Source organism: Homo sapiens, chromosome 2 (assembly GCF_000001405.40).
Source record: "Homo sapiens chromosome 2, GRCh38.p14 Primary Assembly".
NCBI classification, from domain to species: domain Eukaryota; kingdom Metazoa; phylum Chordata; class Mammalia; order Primates; family Hominidae; genus Homo; species Homo sapiens.
The window spans coordinates 233,475,255-233,494,032 of record NC_000002.12 but is presented as its reverse complement, the minus strand read 5'-3'; the positions used below and the strand labels follow the sequence as shown (position 1 = coordinate 233,494,032).

The window sequence follows — 18,778 nt, the reverse complement described above, 5'->3', positions numbered from 1 at the left end:
GGTGGGAAGAACTAGCTAAATAAGTAAAACTGAAATTACAGGGTATGTATAAGACAATGGGTTTATTTCCTTTAGTTTGTATCAGAAACCCATTAGATCAATGGGCTCTTGCATCTGTGTGATAAACTGCACTGCTGGGACTGGTATCCTGGGCCAGCAGTGCTTGGACAGCGCCTGGAAACGCTGGTATAGTGTGTTCAAGCAAATGCATTGTTCTTGTTTATGCTTCTCATTTATATTATCTACTAAGATACCTTTAAGCAAGGGATATTTAGTCCAGTCACCCCAAAGTCTGATTTTTATGATTTTAAATTTTTGATTGTAAAAACAAGTATAATTTATGACAGTTAATAAATCTAAAAGGAAAAATGATAAGTTCAAGAACATCTTAGGTCATCAAGGTGTTTCTTTCTATGGAAGTAAAAGTAGAGTTTCACTTAATCTTTGTAATCACAGCAGTTAAACATGCTCCATTCTTCAGGGTTTCCTGAAGGTGCCCATCTGGTGGTACCAGCTTCAGGGTCCCTCAGGACACTGGGAGAGTCATCAGGACCAGACCAACTGTACTTCGTCTTGGGGCAGAGTTTGGAGAGCCACTTCCAGCCAAGGTGAGAACAGAATGGGATTTCAGCAGCCAGTGCATCATAAAGAGAAGTAAATTGACTGCCTGTGCTCTGAGAGTCAATTGATATATTTATTTTTAAAACGTAAGATCTTGAAAATCAAGACCTATTAATTTCATAAGTCATTCCAGACATCACATAATAATAACACTGTGCCATTTCTGTACGTGCTCTGTAACCTCTGTAAAGCACTATATATCTTGTTGTTTATTATTATATCAATATATTACACTTTCCAAAGACTTTTATGTATCATCTCTCAAGATCCTCAGGGCAACAGGGGCCCCATTTATCACCACGTACCAGAATATTGAGACTTCATCCAATTCTAATGATGTCATTTTAGCCCACAGGGGCAGAGACCAGGAGTCCACATCCTACATGTCTTCCAATCTTTCTGCCTCAAAACCCTCAGGAACTGCTTCTAGGGCATTTGATATCATCTCACTGACTTCTGAGAAGGAACATAGACAAGTACAAGCATGTTGTCTTACTCAGCACTCAGCCGCACACATCACGATGGGCAGAAGTCACTATCAGTGAGTTCTGTTGCCCTTGTACAAAGAGGAGTTCCACTTCATTATAAAGAAATGGAGCGAGTATATTTTTAATAGGCCCAACTCTTTAGCTATGTTTTTCTTTTTATCAGGCTTTACTTATTTAGTTTTTCTAGTGCCTTGAAGTATATTACTTATATTTCTTTTTAATCTTTTCAGCCTCAGTAATAAAATTAATATAAATGAGTCAAATTCTTATCTCCTTATTCTTTGAAGTTAGGATTATATAGAGAGAGTAATGTTGAATGAGCTATAAAATTGGCATAAAGTTACTTTTTAGTTGGGTTACAGTAGTTCATGTTAACTAATGCTAAAAATGCCTTGGTGATAGAATTCTAGTTACATATAGAATTGGATATAGATTGTAAAAGCATGTTTAATCAGTATGTTTCTACGTGAAAAGTAAATAAAAGGTTCTTTTTTTGGTAATACATCTGTACACAACACATGGGAAATGCACTCATGTGTCACTTAACAACATGAATATGTTTTGAGAAATGCATCGTCAGATGATTTCATCATTATGTGAACACGGTAGAGTGATTTACACAAACCTAGATGGTAGAGCCTCCTACACACCTAGGCTATGTGGTGTAGCCTCTTGCTCATAGGCTACAGACCTGTACAGCAGCTTACTGTATTGAATACTGAAGGCGAATCATAACACAGTGGCAGGTGTTTGTGTATCTAAACAGAAAAAGGTACAGTGAAAATACAGTATTATAATCTTATAGGATCACATCACATGTGTGGTCTTTGACCAAATCATTATGTAGCAGGTGATTATATATTTCATTCTTTAGAATTTCCTAAAATTATCTTTCCGGTAGTGTCAGCCTGTAATTTCCTTAAGACACAAGAGGAACTTCTCATGCACTTAGTTGACTTCTAATCTCTCTGTAATTTCTTGCTATGCATTAGTGGCATGCTCAGCAGTAAAGACAGTTAAGGCAAAAATAAGTGAAGACAGTCTAAATTTAGTTGCCAGCTTTTATATTGTTTTTGATGAGAAAGCATTGTGTTTTTCCCTTTTTTTAAACAAACTTGGAAAGGCCTTCTTATTGTCAAGATTTCCTTATAAATAAACATTTATTGGGCATTTACTATGTGGCACCCATTGTACCAGGAACTGGGGAGACAAGATAGATGGCCTGCCTCCTCTTGAAAATTCTGTTGTTTTGAGGAGGCAGATTAAACGCCTGCACACAGACAGACAGACACACACACACACACACACACACACACACACGAGGAACAGGTTGGGATGAGTGTTATGATGAGGAAACAGGAAGCTAACATACAGAATGCAGCCAGCATATCCTACCCAAAAAGTCCTCTTTGAGGAAGGAGAGAATGTGGAAAAGTACATTCAAGGTAGGGGCATAAGTGTCACAGACCTCTTGGGAGTCTGCCGACAACATGTCCCTGCCTGCTTACCTGCCAGACAGGGCCTCCTCATAAGACTTGGATGCAGAGGCTCTTGAGTGGAATTTTAATAACCTATTTACAATATCAAAACATGGCAATGTATTTCAGAAACACAAAATAAGTTTCAAGTTCCTTGTAAACATCCCGCTCTGTCCTTTGGAAGGTGCTTCTGGGAACGAGCCTGCGCAAGTTTCTCTCCTCTACTTGGGAGACATAGAGATCTCAGAAGATGCCACGCTGGCGGAGCTGAAGTCTCAGGTCAGACTTCTTCCTGCACCATAACTTAGTGGTAATGTGGCTTCTTCCAGTGAGATATTAATATATTCTTCTATCTCCTTTTCCCTCAATTACAGTCTGTTCTGATATGGCATTTGTCATATGCCATGTTCAGTGGTAAGTACCCGCAGGCAATACACGCCCATGGTGCAGACGGCTCCTCGTGGCCTCACTGGTCCCTCCTCTGACAGGCATGCTGTGCTTTTGTTTCAATCTATCCTCAGTGACTTGCGGCTTTTGTTCATTTTTATTTTTTTAGGGAAACATGGTTTCTTGGAACATTTGTAAAGCATTCACTTTATCCCTTTATTTACATTGTTTGTGTACCATTGTGACCCATATGTTAAATGTTGTTATGAAAAGCTGTGTTACCAGTTTTCCAGGAGGTTAGAACTCCAGCTTTTATGTTAGGATGCTAAACTAGATATTCTAGGTATTGTGTTGTTTCTTATGCATTAACGTTCACAGAGAAGGAGGGTTTTATCCAAATGGAAGGGCTGGATTAAGCACAATGCAGTGTTGAAGCAGCATCCGCCTACTGTTGGACTGAAATGAGCATTCCTTTCTTCTCTTAGAGGAGAAAATGTGGGGCCTATATATGACTAGTGGTTGTTGATGTTTGGCTTTTGTGCGCCCTCAGTATATGAAATACCCTTCCTCAAGAAAAAGCATATGTTGGCTGGGTGTGGTGGCTCATGCCTATAATCCCAGCACTTTAGGAGTCTGAGGCAGGCGGATCACTTGAGGTCAGGAGTTTGGGACCAACCTGGCCAACATGGTAAAACCCTGTCTCTGCTAAAAGTACAAAAAAAAAAAAAATTCACCTGGCACGGTGGCAGGCACCTGTAATCCCAGCTACTCGGAGGCTGAGGCAGGAGAATCACTTGAACCCAGGACAGGGAGGTTGCAATGAGCTGAGATTGCGCCACTGCACTTCAGGCTGGGTGACAGAGTGAGACTCCGTCTCAAAAAAAAAAAAAAAAAAAAAGGAGAAAAGAAAAAGCAGACAGCCTTATTCTCATGAGAACAAATGGGAAAATACTTTTTTTTTCTCATATTAAGTTGAAAGATATAAAATTGCTGTTTTTAGGTCAAAAAATGGATGAATATTGGTAATTTTAGAGGCTCCAACCTAAGTATATCAGTAGGGGCTTAAAGTGATCCCTTCAGAATTAGAACAAGCAGTTTGGGCCTACTGATTGCAGCCAAAGATTTTGAAATACTTCAGAATCAAAAGCTGATTCATCGGCAGAGCAGACACTGGTGGAGGATTGCGCGGGCACGGAAGAAGGCTGCTGTTGTGTCCCTTGTTGTACTGTTAGAGCGGGCTCTGCCCTGGTGAATTCTACTCCCATGGAAGTTAATTCCAAAGTTTCATTTTTTAAACATGATGATTAAAAAGAAGCTTTTGACTCAGATTTAGAGAGAGGGAACTCACTTCTTTCTCAAGGTGATTTCAGTGCAGAGGAATATGAAGACCGCTCAGGGTTAGTGTTATTTAAGAGAGAGAGAGATTCCTGTGACTTTTAAAATGATGTTATCATTACTTGAGATACTCTTTCCTTGAGATGCCACTGTGTAGTGCTTCATTTTTTTTTTCTAAAACAGTATGTTTTGAAGAGTGCTTTTTAAAACCGTTGGAGAAATGTCTGTTTCTTTTTCTAGGCCATGACCTTGCCTCCTTTCCTGGAGTTCGGTGTCCCGTCCCCAGCCCACCTCAGAGCCTGGACGGTGGAGAGGAAGCGCCCAGGCAGGCTTTTACGAACTGACCGGCAGCCACTCAGGTAGGTTCCTTGCTGGACGCAACACTGTCCCTCTCTGCTGCTGACGCACTGGCTGGTGTGAGGGATGGAGGAGGAATCAGTCTTCTGAGCTGAGTGACAACAAAGCCCATTCCTGGTCATGCCACGCTTGTGACTTGGGTGACACTTTTCATCATAAACTCCAGCAGGCCTTCAGTTTTCCATGTTAAGTATAAATGTAGTGTTGTATATTTTTTCTGTGCTCCAGTGACTGTGACATTATATAACTTAAAAGCATTTGGAGTGAGATGGAAAGTAGGAGTGGCTGTTTCTCACTCAGAAATGTTGGATTCAGCTGATCCTCCTCCTGAAACTTTGAACTTAAAGAGCAGGTTTGGGTCATTTCCTTTGCAAAAAGCAGCCTTGAGGCTTTTTGTTTCTTTCTTTCTCGTTTCTTTCTTTTCTTTCTTTCCTTTCTTTCCTTTTCTTTCTTTTCTTAATAGACAGGGTCTGGCTCTGTCGCCCAGGCTGGAGTGCAGTGGCGTGATCATGGCTCAACTACAGCCTCAACCTCCTGGGCTCAAGTGATCCTCCCACCTCAGCCTCCTGTGTAGCTGGGACCTCAGGCATGTGCCACGACACCAGGCTAATTTTTTGTTTTGACGAGGTCTCCCTATGTTGCCCAGTCTGGTCGCGAACTCCTAGCCTCAAGCAATCCTTCCACCTTGGCCTCCCAAAGTGCTGGGTTACTGGCGTGAGCCACTGTGCCTGGCCAAGGCTGCTTTTAATCGGTTCTGATTACCACCCCAAAGTGACTGGCATGAGAATCTTAACCCCGGCTGAACAGAGGGAAATTTCTTTGGCAGTTTGGCCATCTTCCCAGAGCCAGACCTACATGTTTAGTAAGAAATGACTCAAGTATCTAAATAATCACCGCAGCAAGGATTCTCATTTTTTCCCCTTTTCCAAAAGTTTGGGTGTTCTTATAAGTACTCAGAAAACAATTCTTTGCTTAAGAAAAAAGCTTAAAATTGGGGGAAAAAAAATTCAAGAAAATTAAATGTTATGTCACTCAATATTATCTTGTTTCACTTATTATCAGGGAATATAAACTAGGACGGAGAATTGAGATCTGCTTAGAGCCCCTTCAGAAAGGCGAAAACTTGGGGTAAGAAATTCTCCTGTGCATCTGAAGTGACACACACGTATCTTAACCTCGTTTGCCTTTTGAAGCTTTAACAACTTCATAGTGTAGCATTTTTTTCACTGCTTCTAAGTAGCCTAGCAACTTGAAACAGAGTGTGTGCTAGAAATATGTTTGTATGTCTGGGCATCTAAAACTTGGGACTTATTCTCCCATAAAAACAGTAAGGGAGAATTAATTTTTCAGTAATCACCAGGTGCATATTGACCCCATGATGGCCCTGAAGTGTCAGCAAGAGGCCCACCCGCAGCTGTTGTCAGTGTGTTCGGACAGTCTGCCATCCAACGGATTCATCATTGCTCCCGTCGCTCTGCCCCCTTATTCTACTTTCTTCATCCTAGTATCACCTGACATATCTGTACTTACTGATTTATTTGTTAGTATCTGTCTCCCACTACTAGAATATAAGTACTTGGTTTATTCATTGCTATATCCTTAATACCTAGAATAGTAATTGTGCCCATGTCATAGTCAATAATTATTTATTAAATAAAGATACACCCAAAATTGTCTACAATCAAACCATCTTGTTCTTTTTTCGCTGTAGGAAAATATTTTACAAGTCCTTTTGTAAATATCATGAACTATTAAGATTTGCTCTACCTATTATGATATGAGTATCCTTCTTGTGGTCTGCTTGTTATATGAGAAAGTTATCTTTCAACCATGTCTAACATGTATTTAATTTTAGTGTTTTTATAAAAACACATTCTTAATACAAGTTGTACAACCAGAAATAGTTTCCTGGAGGGGAATTCCAGGATCAAATGGTGTGGACATTTTAAACCTCTTAAAATAGTTAAATATTTCTTCAGGCAAGTTGTTCCAGAATATGAGTATTTATTTTACCTCACCCACAAACCAGCATTGACTATTTCATCGTCTAGGTATTTCCTAAATTGATAAATGAAAGATGATTATCTTGTTCTCATATTCTCCAGTGCTTTGATGACTAATAAGTTCAGGCATTTTTGCAAACTGTATTTTGTGAGTGCATGATTGAGTTATTTCGTGTATTTTGACTGCTTCTGTAATGAAGTCTAAAGGAAAAGCTCTCTTGGAATTTGTGTGAGCTCTTTATGATTTTGACCCTTTGTCACAATGGTTGTAAGCTGTGTCAGGTTTTGATAGGCACAGTGCCTTTTGCCCTTTTGAAGAGCAGCTGTGTGCCTCCTCAGGCCCCTTCCATGGGCTTTTCTGTCCTTGACCAACTTCCAGGGCACTCCTGCTCTCAAGGAGGCCTCTAGTCCCTCCTGTTTCTCTCCAGCAGCCTCTGTCCCCTCCTTGGCAACTTCAGCATCTGTGCCGATGCCCTTTCTGTCCTCTGGCCGCACTGTGCTGGGCTCCAGGCCTTGGCCTCACTCCCTGGCCAGCAGCCCCCTCCCCCATGGGGACATGGGGCTGTGCAGCCTCTGCTCTTGCACTCTGCACTCCCCTGATTCCATGGGCCCACATCTTCCCGTGAACTCTCTTTCTTCCAGTCATTTCATTTCTCATTGCGTGACCTCTTTTGATGGTAAAAACACTTAATAGAAGTACATCTAAAAATCATTCATTGTCTCAGCATCCTAAGAACCAGTCTTCATTTCCCCTTGCTGCCTTCCAGTTCTTATCTATAGCTTTTCCTCCATGGCCTGTGCTGACCTCTGCACGTCCCTGTTCCTCCTGCCTTGCTGAGTGTTGTTCTTTCTGCTCCTCCTGCTAAGGTTTCCCATCTCCCACAGCTGCAGCCTTGTGTCTCACCCGCCCTGTGTCTCTCTTCCCAATTCCAACCCTCAGGTTCTTCTCCCTGGCTACCTCATGGCAGCTCACATTTACAGCCCCCAGAGTCAAGGGCATAACTGCCTACCTCGAGCCCGCTCTCCTCCTGCCAGCTGCCGGGCTATCAAGCCAGGCCTCTCTCACCCTGTCCCTCTCTGCCACATCGTACCTGCTCAGGCCGCCACCTCTTTCCTTTTCTCCCGCACTGAGGAAGTTCCCTACCACGTCTGGGGGGGCTCTGCTGTGTACCGAGAATGGGATCTTCACTTCCGCTCTTCATTCCAAGATTAAAGGAAATTGAAATGCGGAATAAGAGTTTGCCACTAGCATCCAGCATTTAGGGAAAAATCTCTCCTTATAAAAACCAGAAAAGCTGGAGGAGAAGCTTTGCCCATTATGCCTCAAGTTACCACGTGGTTTTGTTTGTTTGTTTGGATCTGGCGCTTGACGGTTTTCTGGTACAGCCCCCAGGACGTGCTGCTGAGGACACAGGTGCGCATCCCTGGTGAGAGGACCTATGCCCCTGCCCTGGACCTGGTGTGGAACGCGGCCCAGGGTGGGACTGCCGGCTCCCTGAGGCAGAGAGTTGCCGATTTCTATCGTCTTCCCGTGGAGAAGATTGAAATTGCCAAATACTTTCCCGAAAAGTTCGAGTGGCTTCCGATATCTAGCTGGGTAAAGTTGTGGGGCTGTCTCAGAGAAATTGGGGCTTACCGGCATAGCAATGAGGTTATGCAATTTTTCACAGTGATAGAGAAGTTAGTGAGAACTTGAGGTTGAGTTTTGCTTATTTAAGATGTTTGATTTTCCCATAGAACCAACAAATAACCAAGAGGAAAAAGAAAAAAAAACAAGATTATTTGCAAGGGGCACCGTATTACTTGAAAGACGGAGATACTATTGGTGTTAAGGTAAGTTGTTTAACAGCAAATTTACCACTTTGAGAAGACACGAGGGTCACATGATTTTATAGAGACGTTTTATTGAATCTTCAAGACACAGATTATCCCATTTTATACAAATTGTTTCAGAGAATGGATAAAAAAGAGGGAAAACTGGACAACTGACTTTACAAGGCCACTGAAACCTCAGTATCCAAACTGCCAAGGACACTAAAATAAAATACAGACCAGTTTCACTTCTGACCATACATGGAAAATTCTAAGTAAAATACTAGCAAGTTCAGCCCAGCAAGTATGTTTTTAAAAACACTACTGTGTGACATGACGTCACAGTAGGTTATCCAAGGAATGTGAGGAGGGCAGCGTGAAGAATAGATTATGTAAGAAATAATCCTGCCAGACTCAAGAGATGCAGAAAAAGCATAAAATAAAACTTATTATTAAAAACCCAGTGTTCATGACTTTAAAAAAGAACTTAGAGCAAACTAGGAATAGAAGGAAACGCCTTAACCTGATGCACATATACCCAAAACCTCTAGCAGCAACACTGTGCCAGCTTCAAAAGCTTCCATTTTCATTAAAGTGGGACCCAAAGTAAGGATTCCCCTAACCGCCCCTTCTGTTTAACACTGTACTAAACAACACGGGCAATGAATTCCCTCCCTCACTGCCAAAAGAAAAGTAAATAAAAATTGAAAGAGCAGTAAAAGAAATTTGAAAAGGAAAATATAAAACCGTTCTTACAAAGGAGATTCAAGGCTGGGCACGGTGGCTCATGCCTGTAATGCCAACACTTTGGGAGGCTGAGATGGGTGGATCACTTGAGCCCAGGAGTTCGAGACCAGCCTGGACAACATAGTGAAACCTGGTCTCTACAAAAAAATACAAAAATTAGCCGGGTGTGGTAGCACACACCTGTAGTCCCAGCTACTCAGGAGGCTGAGGTAGGAGGATCGCTAGGGATGAGCTAGGGAGGTGGATGTTGCAGTGAGCCAAGATCGTGCCACTGCACTGCAGCCCAGGCAACAGAGATCCTGTCTCCAAAAAAAAAGAAAAAAAAAAAAAGGAGATTCAAAAGACTACACAGATAAATGATTAGATCTGATAGAGGAGTTCGAAAGGGTCCAAGATCAGTATAAAACCTTCTGGAGAATATACAAAAACATACTTAGCAGTGTTAAAGAAAGCTTCTGTTAGAGCCACGTCATGTTCTTGGAAGGCAAACCTCACAATAGTAAAGGTATCAGTTCTTCCCAAGTCTGTAAATTCAGTGAAATTCCAATGAAAATCCATATAGATTAGATTAAATAAAATTAATAGCATAAATTCGTACACTAGAGCAAAGGGCCAAAGAGCTAAGATTTTCTTTTGTTGTTGTTGTTGAGACAGTATCTCGCTCTGTTGCCCAGGCTGGAGTGCAGTGGTACGATCTTGGCTCACTGCGAGAAGAAAAAGGACAGGGTCCTTGCCTCACCAAGTGTTGACTGATCACAGCTGTGGCGACAGTGCAGCATGGAGGCACGGGTAGACAAACAGGCTCATGGACAGGGTGGAAAGCCCAGAAACAGAATCACACACGTGAGGAAATGTGACAGATACTTGAGGCAACATTAAAAAATGGGTTATTCAATGAATGGTGCTGGAAAATTAGTTATCTATGTAGGAAAATCATATTCATTAATTTTCATAACCCTAAAATTAATTTTATACAAGTTGAGTATCTATGATTCAAGATGCTTGGGACCAGAACTGTCTCAGATTTCAGGTTTTTTCGGGTTTTGGAATATTTGCATTATACTTAACGGTCGAGCCTCCCTAATCCAAAAATTTGAAATCTGAAATGCTCCATTGAGTTTCGGATTTCTGGATTAGGTATGCTTGACTTGAGTCAGCGTCAGGCCCCATAAAACCTGTACTTACCTCTGCTCACACCATAGTCAACAGGCAATCCAGTTGAAGACTTAAATGTGAAAACCACTCATTTTCAATCTTTAGAAGACATAAGAAAATCTTTGACTTCAAGTTAAGGATTTCTTTTTTTTATTTTTTGAGATGGGGTCTCACTCCGTCACCCAGGTTGGAGTGCAGCAGCATGATTTCCACTCACTGTAACCTCTGCCTCACGGGCTCAAGCGATCCTCCCACGTTAGCCTCCCAAGTAGCTGGGACCACAGGCACGTGCCATTATGCCCGGCTAATTTTTTGTATTTTTGGTAGAGACGGGGTTATGCCGTGTTGCCCAGGCTGGTCTTGAACAGGAGAGTTCAGGCAGTTCACCTGCCTCAGCCTCCCAAAGAGCTGGGATTACAGGCGTGAGCCACCATGCCTGGCAAGAAGGATTTCTTAAACAGAAAGTGCAAACCATGAAAGAATCAGTAAATTTCATTACATTAGAAGTGAGAACTTTTGTTCGTCAAAGGAAATCATAAAAAACAGTGAAAAGGGAAGTCACAAACAGGGGAGCGACATACGCAGTAACACAGCAGAGGGTTATTCTCCAGCATAGACAGCAGATCTTCTGCAAATCTGTTATCAAAAAATAACCCAATAGAGAAGTGGGCCAAGGTTATCACTGGCAGTTCACAGAGGAGAAGAGAATGGCCAGGAAACACATGAAAAGAGAATCAGCTTGCCAATTGCAGGGAGCTGCAGAATCCAGCAGGAAGCTGCCCTTGCTAGTGAGACCGTGGGAACTCCCACACACATGGCCAGGCGCAGTGGCTCACGCCTGTAATCCCAACGCTCTGGGAGGCCAAGGCAGGCAGATCACTTGCACTCGGGAGTTTGAGACCAGCCAGGGCAACATGGCAAAACCCAGCTTCTTGGGTGGCTAAGGCAGGAGGATCACTTGACCCCAGGAGGTGGAGGTTGTAGTGAGCTGAGATCATGCCACTGCACTCCAGCCAGGGTGGCAGAGTCAGACCGTGTGTCAAAAAAAAAAAAACAAAAAAAAAAAACTCCAGTGGGAACACAAGTTGGTACAGCTACTCTGGAGAGCAGTTTGGTGTTAGTTTAGTACACAGATGCCCGTCGATACAACCAAGGAGTCCCACTCCTAGCTGTATTCCCTAGAATAACTCGCCCATAGGTGTGTGGAGACACATGGATATGCTCACTGAAGCATTACAGGTAATAGAATGAAGTGGAAAGAAATTGACAGATTTTTTTTTTTTTTTGAGACAGAGTCTCACTCTGTCACCCAGGCTGGAGTACAGTGGCGCAATCTTGACTCACTGGAACCTCCACCTCCCGAGTTCAAGTGACTCTTCTGCCTCAGTCTCCCATTCCCCAGCCTCAGCCTCCCCACAATTTTTAAAACTTGTGTCATGTGCAATTTACTGGAACAGAAATTATAATATTGGCTTATCATATGAGTGTATTAGAATAGAGATTATAATACTTGACACGACATGTTCCTAGCAGAGGCGGGGCACTGAGAAGTAGCCAGACCCTCCTGCAGAGCCTGGTTAATCTCTCAGTCATTGAAGAGTTTAACTGTGATGTCTAGCCAGAGCCAGCTCCCCACCTCCACACCTGAGAATGCAGCCAGCGACCTGGGCAACCCCCAGCACGAACCCCGCAGACCCTGCGCTGTGTCTTTCCTGACACGCACTTCCCTTCCTGGGTGCGCCCCTGAGGCGTCCTCCCTGTGGACAGCATTTACGGAAATAACATGCGTGTGGAAAACAACCTGCGAGTCCTGGGAAAGGGAGGAGGCTTGCCCAGTCACGGGAATGCAGGGAGCAGCCTGTGTTTGTGAAACCCTGCAGTTAAGGCTTGCAGGAGATGCCAAGGAAGTAAAGCCAAGTTCATGCCTCTCAGAAGCTGGGGCTGGCTATAGAAATACAGAGGCGAGAACAGACTGACGGTGTCTATAAAGTAAACAGCTGTGCTTCTGGCGCGGCGATGAGAGATCCGTGTGCTGATGTGGATGATCTCTGTCTTCATGTTGCCTGGTAGCCCTTTAAAGTCCCCCTGTTTGGCCACTCGCAGTGGAAGCTTCTGGAGCTGAAGGGAAAGGTCAGATGGCTGGAAATTAATTTCCCTTGTGGAGCTCTTCTTGCCACCCCCGAGTTTGTTTTCATCGAGCAAGAGGATTTTTTTTAATCAGTTATTCACCTAGTTTATGTAAATTTGAATCTGTTCTTTTGTCAATATAGGTAGTTTTTTAGACATGCCTCTTTTAAATGTAGGCTAAAAAGATGTCAGAAAACACTGCTCATTACTTCTTTTGAAATGTAGAATCTCCTGATTGACGACGATGATGATTTCAGTACAATCAGAGATGACACTGGAAAAGAAAAGCAGAAACAACGGGCCCTGGGGAGAAGGAAAAGGTAATTGCTGGGGTCTGCACAGATGTGCAGCTGACAGAGCCCTCTCTGACTCTCTCTTATTCCTGCTTGGAAACTGAGAGGGACCGGAAACTCTTGTTGATTCAGAGTGCACACAAAGCACACCAGTGTGGCGGGTCCTTCTCCGCCCCCTGCGTTCTTTCCTCTCCTTGAGTGCCTCCTCCTGGAGCTTTCTGTGGAACAGGTGAAGTCCACGTGAACTGCAGAGGCACGATGAGGAGCCCGCAGATCCATGGCCCCCCGGTCCCCCTCCTTCCTCCTCACCCGCAGCCTCACCCTCTGCCTGGCTCTTGGCTTTCCCTTCAGGTTCCCACACCCTCAGGTCTCCAGAACCACCCCGTCTTGCTGCCACCTCAGCCCTGCTGCGGGCTCCCTGTCCTTCTCCCGCTCTCTCCAAGGTTCCCGAGAGCCTGGCCACTCCAGGGGACGCTGCTGTGGCTTCAGGGCTGCTACCCCACTTCCTCCAGGACACTGCCTGACCCCTGGCCGCCAGGACTCCGCTGCCACAGGCCATCTTCTACCTCTGCTCAGGACTCCTTGCCTCTCTCCCTCCTCCCAGCTCTGGCGCCGCCTGCCGTTGTCTGGCTCTGCACTTACTGCCACTGGAGGAAGCAGGTGCTGCTTGCAGTCAGGCCAAGCCACAGGCTCTGTGCCCAGCCGGCTGTCTTCAGGCCTCCAGGCCACACACCCGGAACTGGGGCGTGAGGCTCAGTTCGCACTGCTCAGCTCACCACCACCACAAGTCCCAGGACCTGCCCGTGGCATCAGCTCCATGCAGGCCTCACCAGAGGCCCCCAGGCGTCCTCATCCTCCCCCACTCCCCGACTCACGGACTCTGGGTCTCTCCTAAATCTGCCTTTTGTCCTATTCTGACTGCTTCTGCCCTGGTGGATTTCATCTTTCCCTGCCCAAATGACTGTAGGAGCCTGATCTGGCCCCGCTCACCCTAATCCCCTTCTTCTGCCCCTCAGTATCTTGGCTGCCCGTGTGCCAGGGACTGCATGCCCTCTGCCACTGGGGGCGTCTGGGGAAGAGAGGTCCCAGGTGGAGGTGGCAGGGCAGGTGAGCGTGACCTCGTGACCATGGCAGAAGTGGGGGTTCGAGCGTGGTTAGAGGCTGCTGGAGGGTGTGAAGGGGGACGCGTTGACATGATCACTGGCTGCTTTGTGGTGAGTGGATTCTAGGAGGTAGAAGTAGAATCAGGGAGCCGAGCGAGGAGACTCCCTGAGTGAAGATGGAGGTGGGTAGGGACTGTGTGAGCTCCGCAAGCAGCACGGCCCCTGGGCCAGGGCCCCTTCCTCTCTGCTCTCCGGGGTCTGGGCTGCTTTCCGGACAGCACTGTCCCGTGGCCTTTGCTGACTCCCTAAGGGCCCCGGGAGCCCCAGGATAGCAAAGGACCTGTGCCTGGCCTCACCCCCATTCGCAGCTCTGCAGCCCTCAGGTCCTGGTGCCCTCAGAGACCTGGGATATGGGAGAGGGGCTGCAGCGCTGGCTGCTTCGGGGGTTTTCCTGTTTAAAGGTCAGACACACACACACACACACACACACACACACACGTAAAATTCTATACGTGTCTAATACATAGACACTAAAATACTGTTTTCCAAATTTTTTTTTTTTTTTGCGACGGAGTCCCACCTTGTCGCCAGGCTGGAGTGCAGTGGCACGATCTCAACCCACTTCAACCTCCGCCTCCCGGGTTCAAGCGATTCTCCTGCCTCAGTCTCCCAAGTAGCTGGTACTACAGGCGTGCACCACTATGCCCAGCTAATTTTTGTATTTTTAGTAGAGACGAGGTTTCACCATGTTGGCCAGGATGGTCTCAATCTCTTGACCTTGTGATCAGCCCGCCTTGGCCTCCCAAAGTACTGGGATTACAGGCGTGAGCCACCGCGCCTGGCTCTGTTTCCACATTTAAATGTGATGCCACTGACTTCATCAGACTTCTCCAAGCATCCTCTCTGTCAAAGCCTTAGTTGTCACCAGGGCTGTTATTTGGAGACATCCAATAGTTCCCCAGGCCCTGGGAGCTCCATTGTCATCTGTGCTGTTTGAGATAGCACATTTTAAAAATTCATGGTGCTGTCACTGAAAACCTCATCTTAAGCCTCACACGTGCTGTTTGCACAACAGTAGACCACTGGTGTCTTCTGAACACCGTGATGTAACCACTTACTATATTGTTTTTCATTTTTTTTTGGAGTTAATAGTGTCACGTGCTTTCAAAAGCCACCAAAGAGGTTCACTGAGAAATCTCTGCACCTCCCTCCCCAGGTACACAGCCTCTCCTAGATGGGCCAGCGTGACCGTCACCTGCATGTCCTTTCAGAGACCTGTGTATAGGGGCAGAGAAGCTTTCCTTTCTCTTTTGACCAGAACTTTCTTGGTAACCTTGCTGTTTTCATGTACCAGTGTGTACTCAGCTGCCCCGTCTCATGGTGGGAGCGTGGTGTCCTGATGCATGGGTAGACCACAGCTTAGGTGACTTATGCCCACCTCACACACTTCCAGGCTGTCGCCAATCTGTCACCATCACAGTGAATAACCTTGTATATTCACCATTTTGCAGTACAGATGTGGATATATCTGTAGGACAGATTTCTGCAATGGAATTGCTAGGTCAGAGGGTATGGCTGTAAACATTATCTGCAAATAAGAAAAAGACAACCAATCCAATAAAAATGTAGGTAAAGGGTATGAACAGTTCATAGAAAAGGAACTGCAAATCGCTTGCCAGCATATAAAAATATGCTCAGCCATTCACTCATGATAAAAGAGGTGTAAATTCAAGCTACTCCGAGACAGTGCCACATGCCTATTGGCAACACTAAAGTGGGAAAGACTCGTGTGTTGAGGACGCAGAGTCACTGGGGCTCTCATCCCCTGTGTGTGGGTGTGGAATTGGCACAGACACTTTGGAACTCAGGACAGTACCTCCTGCTGCATCTGCTGGGCACTTCCCGGTACCCAGCCTTCTACTCCTCAAAAACATGGACGCGTGCCTACCAGGATATCCCCAAAATTACAAGGCAGCTTCATTCACCATGGCCAGATTCTGGCCGTATTGAAGGAAAGGCTGCTCAGCAGTGGGATGGCGGGTGGGCCGCGGAGGCTTTCTGTCGGGGACTGTGCAGCGTGGGTGGGCCACACACATCAGGCTGGGCCAAAGCACCCGGCCGCAGAGCACCTGCCGCACGGTGCCATGGGCCGGGGGGGTCACAGCGAAAGCCAGTCTCTTGAGTGGGATGCCAAGTGGCCTGTCTCTCCGGGCAAGACTGAAGGGGCAGAGGCAGCCTCTGCATCATGTCACACAGGTGTGCGTGATTGTGACGAGTCGTGCAGCGGTGTGTGTGCACTCCGGATGTTATTCTTCCGTTTAAAAAGTACGGAAAGGAAGGTTTCTCAGCTGTGAGGCATTTTCACTGAGCAGATTGAGAAAGCCCCAGAGCCTGAACCATGCCGTGCTGCCAGTGCAAAGCAGGGGAAGGCAGCTGGCCTGGCACAGGGCTGGTGGCAGGGCAAAATGGGGCCCTCTGGCAGGTGGCTGAGATCTGTCTGTGCAATTGCAAATGCACGTCCTTGTGGCCTATAAAATTGGAGTGTATTTTGGGGTCTTCGTGAACCCCTCACCCTGACACCCACTGCATCCATGAGTCAATGACAGTGTCTGTGTCTCTGCAGCCAAGAAGCCCTCCATGAGCAGAGCAGCTACATCCTCTCCAGTGCAGAGACGCCTGCCCGGCCCCGAGCCCCGGAAACTTCTCTCTCCATCCACGTGGGGAGCTTCAGATAACCGCGCCGCTGCACGGCTCTACTCCCGATGAACTCTCCGGCTGATGCCACAAACGTGGGTTTCCTGGGCATGGGGACTGGCTGCCTGGCGCCTCCAATCCCAAATCCTCTGCTTCCTTTGAGCACAGGGACGGCTCCTCTGAGGCCTGGCCAGTGCATGTAGTCACTTAGCTCTGCAACACGTGGCAGCCACGGGGGCTGGTGCAGCTCTGGATGTCGCCCACCCAGCTGCCAGTAGGTGCTGGGCTCTCTCACACAGCACCCGGCCCCAGCTGCCTTTTTTTTTCTTTTAACCAGAAAATGCACAACGTGTGCGTGAACCGCAGGTATGGAGGCAGCGGCATGCCGTTGCTCCGCTGTGGGAGGTGTGTGGGGTCAGGCCAGCCACTTTCCTCCGTGTTCAGATGACTCTCGTTCGCCCTGACCGGCTTCTCACAGTGTCTCAGGCCACTGCGCCACCGCGCTGGTGCTGAGCAGAAGCGGGCAGAAGTGGGGTCTGCTTTCAGGACTTCATTTCCCCCACTCGTTCCGGCCCCGCATGCTCCACGTCTGCCCTTTGGTCTGAGTTAAAACTGCGATGCTGAAAAGTGCGAGCTCTTTCCACGAGGAGGAGCCACACAGGGTGGCCTCCGAGGGTGAGTCGCTCTGCTAAGCAAGGGCAGCCGCTGCACGTCAGCCCGCAGGCCAAGGGTCCAGCTTATCCTGGGTGCTCTGTGATCAGAAGGTCCTTGGATCCCGAGGACTGCAGCTGCTGCCGTCCACAGCGCCTCAGCCTCTCTTCCTGTGTGGAAGCGGGGCAGGCAGGGCTGTGGCAGACAGGCCTGGCATAGCCCAGGTTCCAGGTGTCCTGGGCAGCCTGACCGGTTTCCTGAGTAGCCTCAATGAAAACACCTGAGAAAAAGAAAATGTAAACTAAGGAAGGGTTTTCCCACTTAATCCAACCCAGATTTCTATTCAACTTAAAGGATTTAATTGGCATTTGTGAGAAATAATAGTACCTGTGTCACTGAGTTGATTGATTTGGGACATAGACGGTTGACTTTCCCAGACAGCAGCTTAGCGGAAAGCAGCATCCCGAAGACGGTGTCGCATGTCCTGAGCCTGCTTGTCACCTGGGCCTCACGGTTTCTCGTCAGCCCCGTCACTGATGGGAAGCAGCACTGAAGTGTGAGGGCAGAAAGGACACCGCTGGAGTCAGGCGCTCCCCTGCCTGTGACCCTTTTCCAACAAGCTGATGCTGAGCCAGCGGCCTGCTTTGTCCCTCATACTCCTCCCAACAGTCCAAACCCCTACCAGACAGAAGCCACGTCGCTTCTGCACACGTGTCTGAGAGCGTCTGCCATAGACGTCTGTGCGTTTCCGTGAAGCACTGCGCCCTAAGGACCCAACTCTGACTAGCAGCTGCCTCCCACTCCCAAACACTAACCCCGCTCAGGAGACTCGCACTGGGTGTAGACTGCGTCTTTGCAGAGGGAGATGATAGAGGCTTCTGATGACGCCAGAGCTGTAAGTGTCGTGACGAGCTGGGCGCCCAGCCCTTCTTAAGCTGTTCTGTTTCTGTGGCTTTAACTGACATATTTCTGTAGCATCTGCCTTCATCTCATCTCAGCGTAATGAAATATTAATGAAATCGCTGAAAAGCTTTGCCTTCGAGAGGCCAGAAGCCTCGCGGAATGTCTGCAAGTCCAAAGACGCGTGTGGGTTGTGCCCTGAAGTGCCGTCCAGCAGGCGCGTGCGGCCGGGCCGGCCTGTGCGTGTGGCCTTTGCCTTCTTCCCTTTCTTCCTGTTTTCTGTTTTTTTAATTTGGGGATTGAGAAAGCTGTACGATTTTGTTAAAGAAAAAAATAAACCATTTTTTAAAGTTGTAGCCCTTAGCTGCTTTTGGTTGCCGGCTACTTCGTGCCCAGCTTGCTTAAGAGAGGAACTTTTGGCCGGGCGCGGTGGCTCACGCCTGTAATCCCAGCACTTTGGGAGGCCAAGGCGGGTGGATCATTTGAGGTCAGGAGTGTAAAACCAGCCTGGCTGACATGGTGAAACCCTGTCTCTCCTAAAAGTACAAAAAATTATCTGGGCATGGTGGCGGGCGCCTGTAGTCCCAGCCACTCGGGAGGCTGAGGCAGGAGAATCGTCTGAACCCA

General features: G+C 46.9%; 1 protein-coding gene across 26 annotated transcripts in view; it reads left to right on the top strand.

Moving 5' to 3' along the window:
• The window catches only part of USP40 (ubiquitin specific peptidase 40), a 91,257-nt gene extending 72,750 nt beyond the window's left edge, over positions 1-18,507 (top strand). For 13 of the 26 annotated variants that reach the window (NR_168054.1, NM_001382295.1, XM_047444889.1 and 10 more), the window contains 8 exons: positions 482-608; positions 2,772-2,866; positions 4,550-4,668; positions 5,729-5,794; positions 8,056-8,266; positions 8,407-8,502; positions 12,736-12,830; positions 16,530-18,507. Coding sequence is in view for 18 of the 26 variants with exons in the window: in NM_001382295.1 (NP_001369224.1) it covers positions 482-608; positions 2,772-2,866; positions 4,550-4,668; positions 5,729-5,794; positions 8,056-8,266; positions 8,407-8,502; positions 12,736-12,830; positions 16,530-16,641 (921 nt within the window). In the remaining 8 variants the exon portion in view is untranslated. Of the gene's footprint in view, positions 1-481; positions 609-2,771; positions 2,867-2,961; positions 3,002-4,134; positions 4,372-4,549; positions 4,669-5,728; positions 5,795-6,016; positions 6,353-8,055; positions 8,267-8,406; positions 8,503-12,735; positions 12,831-13,154; positions 13,911-16,529 lie in introns of those variants that run through there. The other 13 variants (NR_168052.1, NR_168053.1, NR_168049.1 and 10 more) reach the window with 9 other exon arrangements.
• The last annotated feature ends 271 nt before the right edge of the window (positions 18,508-18,778 follow it).